At 37.8% G+C, this 21,956-nt stretch overlaps 1 protein-coding gene across 1 annotated transcript, besides 1 other annotated feature; it reads left to right on the forward strand.

The window, feature by feature from the left end:
* Positions 11,142–11,374: a silencer, noted in NCBI's record as "fragment chr2:69199258-69199490 (GRCh37/hg19 assembly coordinates)". NCBI's record gives its function as "represses an EF-1alpha promoter that drives an FKBP-Casp9 reporter gene in an ReSE screen in phorbol 12-myristate 13-acetate-treated (for megakaryocytic differentiation) K562 erythroleukemia cells {active_cell/tissue: K562(+PMA)}" and the evidence as "EXISTENCE:reporter gene assay evidence [ECO:0000049][PMID:32094911]".
* GKN1 (gastrokine 1) lies at positions 13,652–19,992 on the forward strand. The gene is made up of 6 exons (NM_019617.4): positions 13,652–13,705; positions 16,511–16,564; positions 16,653–16,790; positions 17,887–17,997; positions 18,929–19,076; positions 19,745–19,992. Exons 1-6 carry the CDS (start codon positions 13,694–13,696, stop codon positions 19,837–19,839), a joined length of 558 nt encoding a protein of 185 aa, NP_062563.4. The 5' UTR covers positions 13,652–13,693; the 3' UTR covers positions 19,840–19,992.
* Positions 19,993–21,956: the final 1,964 nt, after the last annotated feature.

Raw genomic sequence — 21,956 nt, forward strand, 5'->3', positions numbered from 1 at the left:
AAGACACAAACACCAAAGATGACTCAAGAAGAAATAAATAACCCGAATGGCCCTATATCAATGAAAGAAATTGAATTTGTAGTTAGAAACCTTTCCACAGAGGAAGCTCCAGGCCCAGGTGACTTCACAGGTGAACTCTACCAAACATTTAAGGAAGAAATAATCTGAATTCTATACGAATTATTCTGGAAAATACAAGAGGAGAGCATACTTCCCAACTCATTCTATGAGACCAATATTACTTTGACACCAAAAATAGACAAAAATAATATAAAAAAAGAAATTACAGATCAGTATTCCTCCTGAAAAAAATAAAAAATATTAGTATATTCAATACAGCAGTATATAAAAATAATAATAATAATACATAAGTGAAGTTTTTCCTGGGACTGTAAGGTTTGTTTAACATTTGAAAATCAATCAATACACAGCAGGTTATCAAATAACACTGTTTAGTTCAAAGTGTTTCGTTATAATGCTGATGAGAAAAAAATCGATTTCCAGCCAAGGTCACTCACTGTCTGTGTGGAGTTTGCGTGTCCTCCCCATGCCTGTGTGGGTTTTTTCCAGGCACTCCAGTTTCCTCCCACATCCCAGACATGTGCCCATTCAGTGAATAGGCATGTCTACATGGTCCCAACATGAGTGAGGGTGAGTGTGTGCGTGAGTGTGCCCTGCAATGGGATGACATCCTGTCCAGGGTGGGTTCCTACCTTATGCTCTGAGCTTCTGGGATAGGCTCCAGATGCCTACCACCCTGAACCAGAATAGCAGCTGGAAAATGAAGGAATGAATACAAATGTTTGTCAAATAAAAACTCATAAAGTATATGCCAGTCATATAAATGCATATCAATAAACAGTGCTCAGTGATCCCACTATATTTGCTATTGTTTGTTTTATACTGTATGGTGGCAAGAAGCACTCTATATAAATTTTCTCTTAGCAAAATCTCTTCCTTGATTTAACCCACTACTACTACACCAGCTTCACTTGCTGATGCACCAGAACCTGGGAAAACAATTATCTTACTTGTTTTTATGAATGTTTCTTAAATGTATGTATAGCTCATATTTATTTCAATGTTTAATATAAAAAATGTTTGGGTCTTTATTTAGAAGTTTGATGATGTTTTTATGACCAGAAATAGGCCTCAGGAACTTAACTCTCATTTATATCAATTATCCTATAGTAAAATTGATTTTTTTTTTTTTTGAGATGAAGTTACGCTCTTGTTGCCCAGGCTGGAGTGCAATGGCACGATCTTGGCTCACTGCAACCTCCACCTCCTGGGTTCAGGCAGTTCTCCTGCCTCAGCCTCCTGAGTAGCTGGGACTACAGGCAAGTGCCACCACGCCCGGCTAATTTTTTGTATTTTTAGTAGAGACGGGGTTTCACCATGTTAGCCAGGATGGTCTCGTTCTCCTGACCTTGTGATCCCCCTGCCTCAGCCTCTCAAAGTGCTGGGACTACAGGCATGAGCCACCGTGCCCAGCCTGATTTTTTTATACATCATTTCACTTAAAGTTGCAGTTTCCAAGAACCTATTCACGATGTTAAGTGAGGACTTACTATAATCTAATATATTGTATATTAAAATGAAAAACCATGTGTTCGTCTTGATAGGTGCAGCAAATCATTTGACAAAATTCAACATACGCTCGTGATAATAACTCTCAGAAAACTAGAAGTAGAAAGGAATGTCCTCACTCTAAGAAAGAACACCTATGAAATACCTTGAGTTAATATCATCCTTAAAAATTCACAAATAGAAAATTAATAAATTGGAGCTCAGTAAAGTAAAAACTTTTGCTCTTCCAAAGACAGTCAAAAATATAAAAATAAGAGGCAAACTGGGAAAAAAATACTTGTAAAATACATATCTGATATGTACATCTGATGAAGAATTTATATCTAGAATATATATGTAACTCCCAAATTCAATAACAAGAAAACATACATTCCAATTTTAAAAACAGGCCAAAGATTTGAAAAGATGGTTTACCAAAGAAGATATACAGATGGCAAATAGGTGTGTAAAAAGATGCTCAGCATCACTGGTAATTAGGGAAATGCAAACTAAAACCATGATGTGATGCCACTATACACCAATTAGAATGACTAAAACAACAAATAAGCAAACAAAACAAAACAAAATTGAAAAGTCCAAGCATTGTCAAAGAGCAGAGCAACTAGAATAATCATGCATTGCTGGTGGGGATGCAAGATGGTAAACCACTTTGGAAAACAATTTGGTAATTCATCATAAAATTAAATATAATTATCATATGACCCAGCGATCCCACTTCTAGGTATTTACCAAAGAGAAATGAAAATATATGGGCCCATTAGAGCCTGTACATGAATATTTGCAGTGGCTTTCCCTGTAATTACCCAAAACTGGAAACAACACGAATGCCTTTCAAATGAACTGTGGTACATTTATATATTAGGATACTACTTAACAATAAAAAAGGAATAACTCAATTTTTAAAATGTGCCATGACACATACGAATCTCAGTGCATTATGCTGAGTGACGCTCTTGTCACCTATACACAACGGTAAGCACAATCCAACTCCTAGCAAGACTAACATAAAACCTCATGCAAAATGCCTATTCACTTCAGTTTCTATCACCCGATAGGTCATATCCAACTTTCAATAAAAAATTACAGGTCATGCTAAAAGCCAAAAAAAATTAAAAACTGTCTGAAGAGACAAAGCAAGCAACAGAACCAGACTCATATATGGCAGGATGTTGAAATTATAAAATAGGGAATTTAAAATAACTATGACTACAATGCTAAGAGCACTAACGGAAAAAGTAGACAACATGCAAGAGGACATGGGTAATGTAAGCAGAGAGATGGCAACTCTAAGAAAGAATCAAAGGAAAAAACAGAAATCAAAAACACTGGAACAGAAATGAACAATGCCTTTGATGAGTTCATTGATAGATTGGACATGGAGGATGAAAGAATAAGTGAACTGGAAGGTATGCCAATAGAAACTTCTCAAATTGAAATACAAAGAGAAGAAAAAATTTTAAAAATGAACAGTTATTTAAGAATTATGGGACATTTTGTAAAGGTGTACAATATATATAACTGAAATAGCAGAACGGAAATAAAGAGAAAAAGGAGCAGAAGAAACCATTGAACTAATAATAGCCAAGAACATTCCAAATACAATGACAGACACCAAACCACAGATCCAGGAAGTTTAATGAAACTAAGCAGAATAAATACCAAAAAAATCTACACCTGGGCATATCATATTCAAACTGGAAAAAAAACCCAAAGACAAAAAAGGAATCTTGAAAGATGCCAGGAAAAAAACAAAAACAAAAACAAAACAAAACAAAACAAAAAAACACCATACCAATAAAGGAAAAAGGATAAAATTACAGTGGATGTCTCTCAGAAATCATGCAAGCACAGAGACATTAGAGTGAGATATTTAAAGTGGTAAAAGAAAAAAATCACTGATTGAGTCAGCAAAATTTACATTCAGCAAAAATTATCCTTAAAAAAATGAAGGAGAAACAAAGACTTTCTTAGACAAGCAAAATGTGAAGAAATTTATCATCAGCAAACCAGCCCTCTAAGGAAATATCAAAAGAAGTTTTTTAGGCAGAAGGAAAAGGATATAGGTAAGAAACTCAGATCTGCATAAAGAAAAAAAAAGCATCAGAGGAGAAATACATGAAGGTAAAATAAAATCTTTCATTTTTATTATTCTTAATTGATCAATATTTATTCAAAGTAATAACATTAACTGTATTTTGAGGTTATAGCATATGAATAAGTAAAATGAATGGCAGCATGTTATAAAGGATAAGAGGGAGGAATTGGAAGTACTCTGTTAAAAGGTACCTGTACTACCCATGAAGCAGTAGAGTGATGTTTGAAAGTAGATCTAGATTAGTTGTGAATGCACATTGCAAAATCAGCAATCACTAAGAAACTTCTTAAAAGGTATAATTGAGGAGAGAAAATGGAATCATATAAAATCCTTAGCTAAAACCAGAGAAGGCAAAAAAGAGAGGAAGAAAAACAGAAACAAAAAACAAATGGAATGAACAGAGAAGTTACAGCCATGATAGATATTAATCCAACTGTATCAAGAATCACTTTAGATGTGAGTGATCTAAATACACCAAGTAAAAGATAGAAAGTGACAGAGTTAATCTGGCTCATGCCTGTAATCCCAGTACTTTGGGAGGCCGAGACGGGTGGATCACCTGAGGTCAGGAGTTCGGCACCAGCCTCACCAACATGGAGAAACCCTGTCTCTACTAAAAATACAAAAAATACAAAATTAGCTGGGCATGGTGGCACATGCCTGTAACCAGGAGGCAGAGGTTGCAGTGAGCCAAGATCGTGCCATTGCACTCCAGCTTGGGCAACAAGAGCAAAACTCCATCTCAAAAATAATAATAATAAAATAAAAAATAACACCGAACTATATGTTGTCTATAAGAAATTCACTTTAAATATAAAGACACAGAGAGGTTAAAAGTAAATGAGTGGAGAAAATACACCATCTAACACTAATCGAAAGAAAACTGAAGCACCTGTATTAATTTTAGACAAAGTGAACTTCAAAATAAAGAAAATTATCAGGGATAAAGAGAGGCATCACATAATTATAAAGGATTTAGTTCTCCCAGAAGATATAACAATCCTTAACGGGTATGCACCTAACACCAGAGCATCAAAATATGTGAGATGAAAACTAATAGAGCTGGAAAATCTTTGTACCTTCCAATCAATTTTGCTATAAACCTAAAATGGCTCTAAAAATTAAAGTCTATTTTTTAAAAACTGATAAAACTGCAAAGAGAAATAGACAAACCACTGTTATAGCTGGAGACTTCAATACCCCTCTTCCAAGCACTAATAAATCAAGTAGGCAGAAAAGCAGTAAGGGTATTGTTAAACTAAACAGTATCATCAATAAATTGTATCTAATCAACATTTATAGAATACTTCATTGAATAACAGCAGAATATACATTTTTCTCAAGCTTCCATGGAACACTTACCGAGATAGACCACATGCTAGGCCACAAAACCCACATTAACAAATTTAAAAGAATATAAATCATACAAAGTGCGTTCTCAGATCATGATGAATTTACATTACAAATCAATAACAGGAAGATAATTGAAAAATCCCCCCAAATTTGAAGACTGAACAGCACGTTTTTAATAATAAATGAATCAAAGAAGTCACAAGATAAGTTTTGTTAAAATATGATAAAAAGTTAACAGTGATTATTTCTGCGTAGTAGAATGATATGTGTCAATTATTCTTTGATTATTTTTGTTTTCCATAATTTCTTATGAGTTACTTTTATGCTCAGAAAAGAGTTTTAGATGGTTTTTTAAAATAGATATTTAAAAGATAGAATTTAAAGGCTATAGTTATCCATTGTTAATCAATTTGACAGTAGCTGAGCTATCTATTTTGATTGATTCAGAGATTAAAGTGCCATTAAAATAAATAGAAATAACAGAAAAACAGCATGTTTGAGAAGTAACGAAAATAATTTGGTTTGGAGTCTATCTGATTTTGAAATATGATTATTAAATACATCTAATGTATGCAACAAACTAAAGCCTGAAGCTCAGTAGGGTTGGACCTGTTTTTCCATCTCGTATGGGTGGCTCAAGTATTTAGAATAGAGGAGGTCACACAGGAAGAATGCGAAGGATGAAAAAAAGACCAAGGATGGACTCCAATGCCAACATTGAAGGGAAAGATGAAAGAGAAGAAAGCAAATGTTGAGATGGTAGAAGGAGCAGTTGAAGTGCAAATGGGAGAAAGCAATGTCACAGAAGTAAAGAAAGGAGATAATTTTTTAAAATAAAGGAATTGCAGGATCGAAAAGTACAAAGAAGTTAGATAAGTACTGAAAAAATAGCGGCATTTCAGCAATTTTGAAGTTAGGCTCTTTGTCTTCCTCACTTTTGTGTCACCAATACTGGAGCCCAATTGCCGTGGGTTGAGCCATGATGGTAGGCGGGGAAATAGGATCAGAAAATGTATGTGATTCTTTTAAGGGATGTAAAGAGGAGGGAAGATATAAGGTCTCCATTTGTGAGGAAAGTAGACTTAAGGGAAAGTTTTTATGTTTTGTTTTATTTTGTTACTACTGAGAAAATTTGGCCATACAAATCAAAAAGAGGGAGCAAATCAAAAAGGAAGAGACTGAAGTTTGAGAAAAAGGACAGCTATTTGATGGAGAAAGATGAAAATCAGAGATAGAACTGTTGGTCTTAGAAATGATGTATTAAGAACATATTCCTCCAAGATGAGAGGGAATGAAGTTTGGGTGAAGACAAAGATGGAAGATGGAGGGATGACAGTTCAAGAAGCCTGATACCTTTGAGTTTCTCCATGCAATAGGCTGTTAGGTTGAAGATCGGAGTGATAGAGAGGACTTGGATAATCTGGCAAGGATTTGAACAGCCACTGAAGGGAAGAGGGAAGAAGCTGGCGATAAGTCACAAAAGCTGAGCTCCACTGATGCTATGATAGGTCCAAGAGGAATCAGTTTTAAGTTTAAATTCTTTTCTATATTGGCTCCCACCCAAGAAGAGAGAAAGGGGTTTTCTGGGAAATTGGCCTCTTCCAGATTTGAGAAAAGTGACAAACATTAGTACAACCTTTTTTGTATCAGAATTTCATTTGAGGGCAGGAAGTGTGCTGGACACAAGTAGTGTGAGTTTCTTGAGACAGAAAAACAGTTTCTGTCTCAGGAAACTACACAGCCCAGCACTCTGAGAGGCCAAGGTGGGTGGATCATCTGAGGTCAGGATTTCGAGACCAGCCTGGCCAACATGGTGAAATCCTGTCTCTACTAAAAATACAAAAAAATTAGCCAGGCATTGCGGTGGGCACCTGTTATCCCAGCTACTCAGGAGGCTGAGGCAGGAGAATCGCTTAAACCCGGGAAGCAGAGGTTGCAGTAAGCCGAGATCGCGCCATTGCACTCCAGCCTAGGCAACAAGAGTGAAACTCTGTCGAAAGACAGAGAGAAAGAGAGAAAGAGGAAGGAAGGAAGGAAGGAAGGAAGGAAGGAAGGAAGGAAGGAAGGAAGGAAAGAAGGAAGGAAAATCACAGCCTAATAGATATCCAGCGATTCCATCATATATCATCTCCATACACATTCTATTTCAAGGTAAGTCATGAAATTCTAAATAATAAAGTGTATTTACATTTCTAAAAGGTATATACTTATTTATATACTTTCCTTTATATGTGCTTGATGGTCCTTTATGAAAAAGCTAAATCAAATTGAAAGGTGTGTCAATTATGAAAAAGTTAAGTGACTACGTTTTTAGGGAAACACCCATGGCCACTACCTAAAATATTAATTTACTGGGAGGAGCTCAAGGCTGTTGAAAAGTGTGGGTGTGGAAAAGAGAAAAGAACCTTCAGACATGCAGGGAAGTACTGGGCCAAAGAGAAAGGGAAGTTTCAAGTGTCAGTTGGTGAAGATTAAATCCCTGTAATATCTTGATCTCAGTGTGTAGTAAATTGTAGGTTTTTGATAAGTTAGATAATCCTGAGTCAATTCTTCTCTATCTACTGTGATTAAATGAGATATTTAGCAACCCTAAAAGCAAATCTGAGCGTGTTAAGAATGCCATAAAACAGTCTCCTCACAACTACTGAACCTCCAGTTCACACCACCTGGCTCTGCTGCTCCTCTAGGCTGGAGTGGCCTGACCCTCTCTCTCTCTTTGTCTTTGTCAGTCTATCCCACAGGACTCAGCAAAAGCCCATATGCTGCATGAAGCCTCTGTAACCACTCCAGCTGAGAGATAGCACATTCTTTTGAATGTCTGTCTCTACTGCTTATTTGGCATAAAGGCAAGAGCACAGGCTCCAGGGTTATGTGAATTCAATCACTCCATTCTTACCTGCCATGTGACCTTGGACAGGTCAAAGCCTCTCAGAACCTCACCCTCCTCTCATCTTGCTTTGGTGTGTCTATACTATGTGCGTGTCTTGCCTCCCATCAGGACTAGCTATGCAATTTGCAATGCCCAATGCAAAATGAAAATGTGGGACTCCTTGTTCAGATAGCAGGGAAAAAAAGCTTTTTCCTTTCATCCATAGGTTATCTCTGTCTCTCAACTTGTGATGGTGTTTTTGATTTGCTATTTATTGTCACACACTCCCTTGGGCATAGGGATTTTTGCAACATAAGTGGCCCCTGCAACTCAGCATCTGGGTATATGTGTCTGACCTTAACTCTTCCTGTACCTCTAGCTGTGTACTACCAGTAGAGAGAAGTAGAGGAGTGGTGATCAAGAGCCCATCCAGGGAGGTGGGCATAGCAGGACTACGTGTGAACCAAAGCTCCAAGCAGGAAGAATGCAAAGGATGAACGAAATGCTCCGTTGTCCCATTCACTCCACTTAGAAAACAAAAATTCAAAAATAAAAGTATTAGGATTTTCAAGGTGGCAACTGCAAAGCACTAAACCCAAGTGTGGGCCCTCTGCGACTGCACTAGTCACACATCTATAAAGCCAGCCCTGCCTCTCGTATAGATTTCAGGATCTTGGAGTGTGAGCATTGTTTGTTTTACATCTTTAAATCTTCTGTAGCACTTGTGCTTAATTGGGGCATGGCATTAGCTGCAGCATGATGCATTGCTATTAATGGGCTATTTTTCAATAAGAGAAAATGAGTAGGGGGTTGTAGGCCCAGTGACCCATTTCTGAGCAAGCAAATGATAGAACTTTCCTGGCATGGATGAGAGGTTTTTATTCAAATCCAGTGGGACCTCTGAAGGAAAAGCACACTCCAGAATGAATCCTGATGGATACGTTTTATTAAGCATTTCCAGGAATTACAGACTAGGAATGTAGGTAGGGAGAGAGCATAATTGAATAAACATGGAAACTCAAAATTCTCTGAGGCACCCTTGAGGATCCAATGTCACCATCTGAAGATGTGTTCTTTCAGAAGTGAAAAGATTGCATATGTGTGTATTGTGTTCTATGTAAGACATAGAAAAGGAAACCAATTCTGACCGGTCACCCTACAGAAAACTCGATGATTTACAAAACTGTGCTTCATTGTTCACTGGCCTTAGGGCAAGTCCTTTACTTTGGCCTCTTCTGCCAGGGAAGCCATGGTGTGGTGGCCTGGGGTCCTCGCAAGGCCCTGGCTCTAGGCACCGCTCTGCCAGCGCTAGCACTTTGGTTCCAACCATTTGGGATCTTATTCTCATCTTTTAATAAGCAGTTTAGTCATTTCCCAGCCTGACTGCTGTTATTTAATTAACACACCATCAGTATGAGTGCTTTTACAACATTATCTCTAAACCGCTTCAATTTGAACACTGAACAAAGTATAGTGTTATTATTTCTGGATTAGCCAGGACATAATTATAAAGCAACATGTTGCTATCACTTTATGATTTCTATTCCTCATATGGGCATACTTTCTTTAAATCTTTTTCAGAACGAATTGTTTAACCAGGCTTGATTGTCCTTCACGATGATAAACATGAAGTTATTGGTCAGCGTTGTCTTTACCTCTACTTTCATATATTTCATACACATGATGCAATTACTCAGGAGATCTTCTTTTTGCAAGATTTTTCCAAACCCCATTTATATTACTCTATCACTCAAGGTAACAACTAATCTTAGGCATAATATATCACTGCCTGCCTCTGAGGGGATCCAGAAGTTTTGGCAAACGCAATTGAACAGACATACAAACAGCCAGAGAAAGCCAGAGTTATATGTATTTTGGAAGGCAACGGTCCCAGAGGAAACAACAAAAATATCTGCTCAGTAATGCAAAGTGCTCCCTCCACTCTGCTGTAACTCGAAAAGAATTTCTCCCCTATATAAAAATAATTATGTATTAAGTTTGGATTTTCTGGAACTTGAAGCTCCTCTAGCAATAACTATTAAAACGTTATTTTACATGTTTCTATCGCTATTTTTTAGACGTGTCATTCCTAGCCATAAGTACATATGGAGGCTTTGATAAGGGTGTGTCACTGCTGCAAGCACCAAGGCTGTAGTCACCGGAACCATCATGAGAGTCTTAGCTACAGGCTGGGAAATCAAGACCAGAGAGGGGCAGAAATTTCTCCACAGCGAAGTGTATTCAGACCTCATAATGAACCACTTGACTGGGGACCATCAAAAGGACCATCAGACTGGTGTGCAGTTTGCTCAGAAAGACAAAAGTAAAGGCAAGGAGACTGAAATAGAGTCTGCATGAAGGGACTTCCACACTCAAACAAATAAATTATCATTTGCAGGCAAATGGACTAAGGCCAGTTGAGTCCTAACTATCAGAAAATGGAGAGCAAGAATGAAAAGGAAGCCAAGGTTACTAAGGGCTTCATAGGTATTAATAACCTCTAGGTCAGCCCATTAACAGGTCTGTGCAGAGACGGAATCTTGAATGAGAATATTTAATGATTAAAATGTACCCTATAGGCAAACATTCCCTTCCACTCAGAGAACAAGAAGGAATGTGAAAAGTCTGATTTCTGTGGGAAAGCACTTTGGTTCCAACCATTTGGGATCTGATTGACATCTTTAAATGAGCAGTTTAGTCCTTTGCAGGCCTCCCTCCAGTTGCACACAGGAGCATATTGCACATGGGATGCATCCCGTCTGCTCCACACGGAGGGAGTTTCCACTGAGCACAACACAGGGTGTGGAGTAGAATGAAGCCTTGGGTGTGTGTGCATTGTGAGATAAAATGACGATAGGGGCTTGTTTCTTGGCATGGCCCAGCATCAATCTCTGTAGGCAGGGCAGGCTCTATTTACCCATGGGCTGATTTGTTCCACACTAACCCCAAGCCACAGAGGTCACACCATCAACTGAGACTCCCTCAATGTGTCATCACAGCCAGTGTAGGGCAGCCCCTCTCAGGCTGGCACCAAAACCAGAAATGACTAAATATAACGCACTTTTTATCCTGTAGCTTAACATCTCCTTTACGCAAGTAAAATTTTTACAAGGGGCCTACTGAGCACCATATATGTGTCTGCATATTTTAGATTCTATGGAGGTGACCAAAAACATTGGTATGTTCTGTCTTCCTGGGAAGACATTCTTCTTCAAGGGAAGAATGAAACATAAAACACAGTTCTCAGGGCAAAAGTCTTGCTCATGCTTCATTAGGACTTTTGGCCTTGGATGAGACCAGGATTGAGGTGAGGGTTGACCCCCACCTTGACCCCCACACTCCCTCTCCCCCAACCTCCCACACCACACAAAGTACAGAAAAAGAAGTTTTTCTGGTTGTAGAGCCATTGAAGTAACAAATATTGTATAAAGGAGGAATTTCTTCTCTTTTACCCACAAGAAACCTAAGGCCTAAACCAAAAAAATAAATGACTCATTGAAAGATGGGAAAATAGAATCTAGGTCTCCTGGCTCCCAGCTTCATCCAGTAGCTCCCCAAATGGGTTTTCAAATCCAGGGTGCATCCTCAGAGGTGGCACAATTTTTTCACTAAGGCAGGGGTCCCCAGAGTTGTTATGAGATGTTAGGACAAATAAATAAAAGAAAAAGGGAAAACGATCAGGTTCTGTAGTCAACTAAGATGAGAAGAACCTGGATGAAACAGAGATTTTTCCCCTATAAATTTCTTAGCCCATTTGATGTGTGAATGTGAATTGTCAGTCTCTAAAGGGGGGATTATTGGACCCGGAACTCTACCTATGTATCTATGTATGTGTGTGTATCTATGTGTGTATACGTGTGTATGTATGTATGTATGTATGTATGTATGTATCTATCTATCTATCTATCTATCTATCTATCTATCTATCTGTCTGTCTGTCTGTCATGGAACATCTTCCAGACCAGCATTTCACAGGTCCACTGCAGAACTTCAGGCCCTTGTCCTTGGTATGACATGCAAAATGTGTGCTGGGCACTGCACCTGTGTACCAAGATGACTACTGGTGGCTGAGTTTAAACGTAGAGACCATGCTACCCACTCATTGACTTCTCAGTGACATGAAGTTTCCTAAAGCAGATGAAGGCCTCTTCACACATGTCTGCCCCTTACTCCAGGCTTATTACCTTCTGTGGATAAAGAGTGAGTTTGAAAGAAATCAGTGGACACATTAAAAAATATCCAGTAATACTGCAGCTGTTCTAATCCACTCCTACCAACAGTTTTGAAGAGATGTTGATAGCGAATCAAGCTTTATAACCATGTGATCCCATCTTATGGTTTCAATCCATGCACAGGAGGAAAATTGTGGGCACGAAGTTTCCAAAGGGAAAATTTATAGATTGGTAGTTAATGAAATACAGTTTTCCTCCTTGGCAAATTTAATTTACTAGCTTCACTGTATAGGAAAAAGCAGGAAAAAAATTAAAACCAACTCACCTCCAAACCTGTTTTGAGCTTTTACTTGTCTGCCCAATTGATAGTTTCTACTCTCTGCTTTTGATGAAAATATTTTTTATTATTTTAATGTAACTTCTGAAAACTAAATTATCTAGAAGCAAATAAAAAGATATTGCTTTTATAGTTCCCAGAAGGAAAAAACAAACACTAGGAAAGTTCTATCTATCAGATGGGGGAGATGTGATGGAGGCAGTGATATTTGAGCTGAGCCTTGAACAATGAACAGGAGTCTACCAAGCGAGAGGCTAGCGGGTGGCCCTCCAAGATAAAACAACAGCATGTACAAAGGCATGGAGACATACACATCTTGACTTTTCCAGGAATGGTGGGAACGCTGGTGGAGCTAGAATGTAGGTACATAGCATAAAGTGGCAGACGGGAAGCCTTTGGAAATCTTATTACATAGGACCCTGGATGCCATTCCAATGACTTTGAATTTTCTGTAGGCTGCCAGCGAAATTTCCAAGCGTGATAGAGTCATGTCTATCTATGCACTTCAGAAAGACAACCTCAGGGTTAATGAAGAAAATGCATTGGAATATAAGAAACTGGTGACCAGAGTGATCAATTGCATGACTGTTGTGAAAGTCCAGGTGAGGGGAGCTGTGGGCAAGGTCAGAGTTGAGAGGCATTTCAGAGATAAAATGACAGTAACTAAGTAGATGTCAGACTGAGAAGAAAGGGCTGTACCAGATATATGGTGCTATCATTAAGTGAGCTCAACATTGCAGAAAAGGGGTAGGTTTGGTGGGAGTTGCTCACAAAACATGTTTAGTCTAAGCAAAACCATTGCCATGGGCTCAGATAAAAGTTAAGAAGTGGAAACCATTCCTACATTCCTATAGGAGCTGCTATCTGGAAGGCCTAGTATACACGTGGCTTTTCAGCTGTGATTTTGTTTGATTTTAGGGATTATTCTTTTTCTGAATCTGAGCAATGTTAGCGTGTAAAATACTCACGCCCACAGCTTTGACTGGGTGAGAAGTTATCATAAATCATATTGAGTTTGTTGTGATACCTTCAGCTTCAACAAGTGATGAGTCAGGTCAACTCCATGTGAAAGTTCCTTGCTAAGCATGCAGATATTCTGAAAGGTTTCCTGGTACACTGGCTCATGGCACAGATAGGAGAAATTGAGGAAGGTAAGTCTTTGACCCCACCTGATAACACCTAGTTTGAGTCAACCTGGTTAAGTACAAATATGAGAAGGCTTCTCATTCAGGTCCATGCTTGCCTACTCCTCTGTCCACTGCTTTCGTGAAGACAAGATGAAGTTCACAGTGAGTAGATTTTTCCTTTTGAATTTACCACCAAATGATTGGAGACTGTCAATATTCTGAGATTTAGGAGGTCTGCTTCTTATGGCCCCATCATGGAAAATTTGTTTTAAAAAAATTCTCTCTTCAAACACATGGACACAGAGAGGGGAACAACACACACTAGGTCCTGTTGGGGGGTGGAGAGTGAGGGGAGGGAACTTAGAGGACAGGTCAATAGGGGCAGCAAACCACCATGGCACACATATACCTATGTAACAAACCTGCACGTTCTGCACATGTATCCCTTTTTTTTAGAAGAAGAAATAATGAAAAAAAATCTTTTTTCTATTTATATAATCATGGCATTTATAAGCATCTCTATAGAGAAGGATAATTGTGCTGAGATTAGACAGCTGTCTGAGCACCTCACACTGACCTATTTTTAACAAAATGACTTTCCGCATCACCTGATTCCGGTCTCCATGCAGGGTAAGCAGTTCCTAAGCCCTAGAAAGTGCCGATCATCCCTCATTCTTGAATTCCTCCTTTTATTTACCAAAATTCCTGAGCATGTTCAGGAAAGATGAAAAGCTTATTATCAAAATAAGTGGCTGAGATAGACTTCTTGTCACATTTGTTACAGTAAAATGGGTCTCCAAGAAAGAAAGATTTGCCTTGGGCTCTAGCATGGCCATTTATTTAAGAAAGCATCTGAAACATGAAGCTACCACAGCATCTCTCCTGTGGTTCCAGACAGAAGCCTGAGAGTCTAGGAGGAGGTGGACCGAGAAACCCTGCCAAAGTAACTAGTAGTGCCGGGTTTCTCACAACACGATGCAAAGGGGCTAGAATCAGATGACTATTTTCATGTTTCAACATACTACACACTGGAAAACGTTACGGCAGACTCTACTTTATAATGGGGCTGCAAATGTAAAATGACTACCTAGAACTAGGTCCTCTTAATAGCAGCAAAGTTTAAAAGGGTCAGAGGGAGCTCCAGACACAGGTTAGATTTGATTTCTCTCCTAGTTCTGCTGTGAACAAGAGGTATAAGTTTGGCCAACTCACTTAACCCCTGAAGCTCAGTTACCTTATCTGTAAAATGATTGCATTGTACTAGGTGTTCTCTAAAATTTCTTCTACCTCTGACTTTTTAGGAGACTAATTTTTAACTCCTTTTTAAGCTATTGGGAGAAAAATTTAATTTTTTTTCAAAAGTTACCTTGAATCTCTAGAGCAGTTCTCAAAACTATTTTGTCCCAGGCAAAGGAAATGAGACTAGGTACCCAGAATGAGGCACCCTGCATAAAGCTCTGTGCTCTGAAAACCAATGTCAGGGACCCTGTGATAAATAATTAAACCAAGTATCCTGGGACACTGCTAGTGACATCGCCTCTGCTGATCACTCTTGCCAGCGAGACACTCTATACTTGCTTTCTCATCATTGGCATCCAAACTGCCTACTAATCCATTGCTTTGGAAAGTTTTTTTTAATAAAAAGATTATTTCTATTAGGAAGAAAACATCCCATGTTAAATAGGAAAATTAACTGAAATCATTTTCAGATGTGATTTTTAGCACTTATAGCCATCTCAAACCATAGTATTCATTTATACTATGCTATTTATTGTAAAACTTCTTTTTTTTTCCAAGGAAAATAAGATAGTTTGCTTTATTTTAAAACAGTAACTTTCTTATATTGGGGCACTGACCAAAATTCAATACTGGTACAAATATGTTACCTAGGAGGTCAAAATATGTGCCAGGTGAATTTTCTGAATTTCTCTAAAGAGAGAATTTTAAACCTTATAAAACAATTAGAAACAAGTGAGTGAGAGGTGAGCATCAACAACCTGTGTAACATAAGCCACAGTACAAATTTAAGCTGAATAACCAAGCCATGTCAGTTATCCCAAATCATTTTTGTTAATATTTAGGAGGATACACATATTTTCAATAACTTAAAAGTGAATCTTTACTCCTATCTCTTAATACTCGAAGAAGTATAACTTTCTTCTTTTACTAGATTTAAATAATCCAAATATCTACTCAAGGTAGGATGCTGTCATTAACTATAGCTGAGTTTATCCAAAATAGAAAAATCATGAAGATTTATAAAGCATTTTAAAAATAATCATTTATAGCAAGTCCTTGAAAGCTCTAAATAAGAAAGGCAGTTCTCTACTTTCTAATAACACCTATGGTTTATATTACATAATATAATTCAACAAAACAGCATTCTGACCAATGATAATTTATAGGAAATTCATTTGCCAAGTATATGTTTTATTATAAAGTTAATATTTTGACCAATCTTAAAAATTTTTAAACTCTATTCTGACATTTCCAGAAGTATTATCTTAGCAAAGTCATCTTTATGATACCACTTATTAAACTGAAGAGAAACAAGATGGTACATTCTGGGTTTTACTTTAAAAGGGATTTGATTCAATAATTTGATTTATCACTACTTGAAAATTACATTTTCTTCCTCAGTACTGGATGGCAATGAGATGAAAGCAGCTTTCCTGGCTCTCAACTTCCCTTCTTCATCAATTTTTCCAGCGTTTCATAAGGCCTACACTAAAAATTCTAAAACTATATATCACATTAATATAATTACTTATAATTAATCAGCAATTTCACATTATCGTTAAAACCTTTATGGTTAAAAAATGCAAGGTAAGAGAAGAAAAAAACACATTGAACTAGAACTGAACACATTGGTAAAATTAGTGAATACTTTTCATAAGCTTGGATAGAGGAAGAAAGAAGACATCATTTTGCCATGTAACAGGAGACCAATGTTATTTGTGATTTCAGATTGTCTTTGCTGGACTTCTTGGAGTCTTTCTAGCTCCTGCCCTAGCTAACTATGTAAGTCTCACCTTTTCAAGTTTGCTACCAAAATGCATTTGCAAGGAAATGTGATATTAAATCACTCTCAATCTCTTATAAACTTCAGAATATCAACGTCAATGATGACAACAACAATGCTGGAAGTGGGCAGCAGTCAGTGAGTGTCAACAATGAACACAATGTGGCCAATGTTGACAATAACAACGGATGGGACTCCTGGAATTCCATCTGGGATTATGGAAATGTAGGTAGTCAACGTGCAATTTTCACTTTATTGTTTAAAAATACGATTTCTTTTTAACAAAAAATGTGCATGTTAACCATAAAGAAATTAAAAATAAATTCTAATTACACATAGCATACAGTTATAAGTAAAGGTGACCATTTTGCTCATCCGATTTTGTTCCCTAGAGATAACTACTGTTAATAAGTGTTGCATGATCAGTTAAAATTCAAACCAACAAACACTATGTTCAAGGGATTGTGGGTATATACAACAAATATGAACATCCTTTTGCCTTGCCTGCAGATACCCTCAATAATGCTGAAAGACTTATACAACATTACTGCTTCCAAAGCTTAGACTATCTCACTTTGTTTTCAAAGGAGGTTTTACGACCTTCTAAAGAGATTGAAATTGACATTTCACCTAAAACTCGGGAAATGTAAATGACAATATTAATTGGTAAGAGAGGAAAGAAGAAAGAAAGAAGGAAGGAAAGAAAGAAAGAAGGAAGGAAGGAAAGAAAGAAAGAAAGAAAGAAAGAGAGAGAAAGAAAGAAAAAGAAAAAAGAGAGAAAGAGAGAAGGAAAGAAAGAGAGAAGGAAAGGAAAAGAGAAGCAAAGAAAGAGAGGAGCAAAGAAAGGAACACTTAGCACTAGTTAGGAGACCCAACTCTGGAATTATCAGCTATATATTTAACAAACGTTATACTTTTAAATAGCAAACTCTTTATTGTTTCAATTTTATCTGGTCAATTGGAAAAATAATTTTTGTCTTATCTGTCTCCTTGAAATGTGAGGATCAAAGGAGACTAAAACATGATAGCTTTTAAAGTCTATTTCAGTAAAACAGACTTATATAGAGGGGTTTTTATCATGCTGGAACCTGGAAATAAAGCAAACCAGTTAGATGCTCAGTCTCTGCCCTCACAGAATTGCAGTCTGTCCTCACAAATGTCAGCAATAGATATGATTGCCAAGCAGTGCCCCATCCAGTGCTCTTATCCCAGCTCATCACGATCTTGGAGTTCCCATTTCTCTCTGCAGGTGGAACTGACCTCTGATAAGAAAAGCTCCTCGGAGAACACATGCCTCACTATTTGCCATCTACTTTAACAGGGCTTTGCTGCAACCAGACTCTTTCAAAAGAAGACATGCATTGTGCACAAAATGAACAAGGAAGTCATGCCCTCCATTCAATCCCTTGATGCACTGGTCAAGGAAAAGAAGGTAAAAATAAAAGGCTTTTTATTTTTGGTGAGGGGAGAGGTTTTACATCCTTCAGTAAATAACGAGAAGATCACAGTCATTCCCTCTTGACTACAGTATGTTGTAGTGTGCAGCACAAAGGGGGAAGTTATTGGTGATTGCCTGAGGGAAGGCAACTTCTGCCACATCAAATGCTGTGGCTCACACCTACCTCTACAACCGCTGAGCAAAGCACTTGAAACCTTGACTGTTAGAGGAGCAAAGCTCTGGTCACACCAATAGGAGCCTCAGTACTTTGCCAAGGACATTTTTCTGCAAGAGTTAGTTAGGGTTATTAGATTTAGCAAATGAAAATAGAAGATATCCAGTTAGGTTTGAATTTTAGGTAAGCAGCAGGTCTTTTTAGTATAATATATCCTATGCAATATTTGGGATATACTAAAAAAAGATCCATTGTTTATCTGAAATTCAAATGTAACTGGGTATTGTATATTTTGTCTGGCCATACTAATCCAGGTGAGTGGAAAGAAGAGATCCATAATGTTTTAAAATATTTGCCTGAGTTCATATTCCTATAACTGATAAATGAGTACCTTTCATTGACAAGGTAGAGAAAATAAATAAACTGCATTCTCAGAAGATGATTATTACATAGTCTAATCCAAGGAATCTATGATGACCAAATGAGGTCCAAGTTGCAGAATAAATTAAGCCTCAGACTTCTGTGTTTATGAGAAGCTGAGGTTTCAAACCAGCTAAATCCCTTAGGACACTTAGAAATGCTAAGATATACAGAATAAGCTAGAAATGGCTCTTCTTCATCTTGATTATGGAAAAATTTAGCTGAGCAACACTCACTGTTGGCCTCGTATACCCCTCAAGTCAACAAACCACTGGGCTTGGCATTCATTCTCTCCCATTCTTCCTTTCTACCTCTCTTTTCCACACTCAGCTTCAGGGTAAGGGACCAGGAGGACCACCTCCCAAGGGCCTGATGTACTCAGTCAACCCAAACAAAGTCGATGACCTGAGCAAGTTCGGAAAAAACATTGCAAACATGTGTCGTGGGATTCCAACATACATGGCTGAGGAGATGCAAGGTGAGTAGCATCCCTACTGTGCACCCCAAGTTAGTGCTGGTGGGATTGTCAGACTATCCTCGCGCGTGTCCATAGTGGGCACCAGTGATGCAGGGATGGTCATCAAGGCCAACATTTGTGCAGTGCTTGCTCTGTGCCAGGTACTGTTCTATGTGCTTTAAGTGTGTTAACTCGGTTCTTCACAGCAATCTTATAGGTTCTATTTTAATCCTACTTTATGGATGAGGAAACTGAGGTACAGAGAGGTCACAAAATCCTTGCCTGGGTCAATTCCAAGCATTTTGGCTGTGGATTCTGTGCTCTTAAATATTATGGAACACTGCCTTTTAAGTGTGAATCAAGAGTAGACTCAAGTCATATTCAAAAGAATGCATGAATGGCTAAATGAAAGAAGAATGCTAATAGAATCTATTAACTTTCTATAGCTCAGACAATCACTTAATTTCTGGACATTCAAAGAACAGCTGCACACAAACAAAGTGTCTACCTAGGGACCTAACTTAATGGCAATTTTCCAGATCTCTGAATTGATTGATTTCATCACAACAAGTAGATAAACCTTGACATTAGCACATAGCTAGTTTGGAAACCCCTACTCCCCCAATCCCCTCCAAGAAAAGAGTCCTTAAATAGACATTAATATAGGCTTCTTCTTTTCTCTTTATTAGAGGCAAGCCTGTTTTTTTACTCAGGAACGTGCTACACGACCAGTGTACTATGGATTGTGGACATTTCCTTCTGTGGAGACACGGTGGAGAACTAAACAATTTTTTAAAGCCACTATGGATTTAGTCATCTGAATATGCTGTGCAGAAAAAATATGGGCTCCAGTGGTTTTTACCATGTCATTCTGAAATTTTTCTCTACTAGTTATGTTTGATTTCTTTAAGTTTCAATAAAATCATTTAGCATTGAATTCAGTGTATACTCACATTTCTTACAATTTCTTATGACTTGGAATGCACAGGATCAAAAATGCAATGTGGTGGTGGCAAGTTGTTGAAGTGCATTAGACTCAACTGCTAGCCTATATTCAAGACCTGTCTCCTGTAAAGAACCCCTTCAGGTGCTTCAGACACCACTAACCACAACCCTGGGAATGGTTCCAATACTCTCCAACTGCTCTGAAGGCTGCTCTATAGTTGTTGTGCACAGTAACGTTTCAGATCAGCAAGGACAGAAATTCACTCAGAGTCACATAAGCAAGAAAGGGTGGTTTATTGCAAGGATATAAGAATATCTCAAAAAATCTGAGGGCAAGAAAAGCAGCTGGTTATCAAAAAAACTACATCCAGGAACTCTGCTGACACCAAGACCCAAGTCTGCTTCTCTCCCTGAAGCCACGCGTTACCTTTTCTCTCTTCTTCTCTAAATTTTACTTCCCTCTTTTTCGCATATTGCGGATGGATTTTTTTGTGCTCATGGCACAGAATGGCTGACCCAAATTTTCAGCCTCATCTCTCGTGTTTACATGTCTTTCCAGTTCAAGAGGTAATAACTCATATTGAATCCCAATTCCATTTTCCTTGATCCTGTTTGGCTCAAAGTTAGCAACTTCCATTCACTGATGGCCAGGAAAGTGAAAGGTCTCAGAGAAAATAGAGACTCTAAATATTGTGTATTACAATATAAAACTGTTAACTTTTCAAAGCTGCCCCCATACATCTTTTTTTAATCCCCAGTGCCATAGGGGAATATCTAATCCATTCTCATGTCTTCAGGTGAAATAGCCACAAATAATCCTAACAAATAAAACTAAAGACATTGATTCTCACCATTTGGAAAAATGCTAATATTTACCAGTTTTTATTGGGATGAAACTGTTATATTTTTCCTCATACTGATATTATTTCATAACTGTTCACATGAAGTGCACTATGAGGTTAGTAGAACTTCCAAAATATTCTGAAGCCATGAGAGGTAAAAACTTATCAAAACCCCATCAAAGGTCATGGCCTTAGATATTTTCCTACTGTGAGTGAGAAAGAAAGAAAACTGTGACTCATAAACTGGATACAATGTCATCTACCTGACTTTTGGGAACTGGTAAATCCCATGTTTCTTAGAAGAATTGTCTACCCCCTATTTCATGATAAAAAATTAAATTCACTAGGAATATATAAAAATTCTAGATTATATATACTTATCAAAATACATAAAAGAAAAATTATAAGAATTGAGGAGAATTTAACAATTTAATTATCTTAGTTGAAGATTTTAACATATATCTTTCAATAAGCTAGAAATGAAGTAGTTACAGATATAAAAAATGTTTAACACAATTAACAAGCTTATGTTAATAAACATATGTAGAACACTGCAGAATATATATCCTCTTAAGCATGTATGAAACATTTACGGCCGGGCGCGGTGGCTCACATCTGTAATCCCAGCACTTTGGGAGGCCGAGGCGGGTGGATCGCAAGGTCAGGAGATCGAGACCATCCTGGCTAATACGGTGAAACCCCGTCTCTATTAAAAATACAAAAAAAAAAAAAAAATTAGCCAGGTGTGGTGGCAGGCGCCTGTAGTCCCAGCTACTTGGGAGGCTGAGGCAGGAGAGTGGCGTGAACCTGGGAGGCGGAGCTTGCAGTGAGCCAAGATCGCGCCACTGCACTCCAGCCTGGGCGACAGAGCGAGACTGTCTCAAAAAAAAAAAAAAAGAAAAGAAACATTTACAAATATTGGTCATTGCTGAGACATAAATAAAATCTCAAAAAAATTCAAATGACTGGCATCATAAAAGAAGAAATTTTTATGACCTAATTTTAATTAGGATAAAATAAACATTTTTCTCTAAATAAAACCAAATTACCCATTTGTTTTGAAATCAGGTATACTAATTCTAAATAATACAAGCGCTAACAAAAAATTCATGAA

Source organism: Homo sapiens, chromosome 2, assembly GCF_000001405.40.
Source record: "Homo sapiens chromosome 2, GRCh38.p14 Primary Assembly".
In the NCBI taxonomy this organism is placed as follows: Eukaryota; Metazoa; Chordata; class Mammalia; order Primates; family Hominidae; genus Homo; species Homo sapiens.

Excerpts from the sequence above, each read along its gene's own strand:
- GKN1 (NM_019617.4), top strand. Across the intron at positions 16,791-17,886 it reads CCATCTGGGATTATGGAAAT|GGCTTTGCTGCAACCAGACT; the intron begins GTAGGTAGTCAA and ends CTACTTTAACAG. Across the intron at positions 19,077-19,744 it reads CATGGCTGAGGAGATGCAAG|AGGCAAGCCTGTTTTTTTAC; the intron begins GTGAGTAGCATC and ends TCTCTTTATTAG.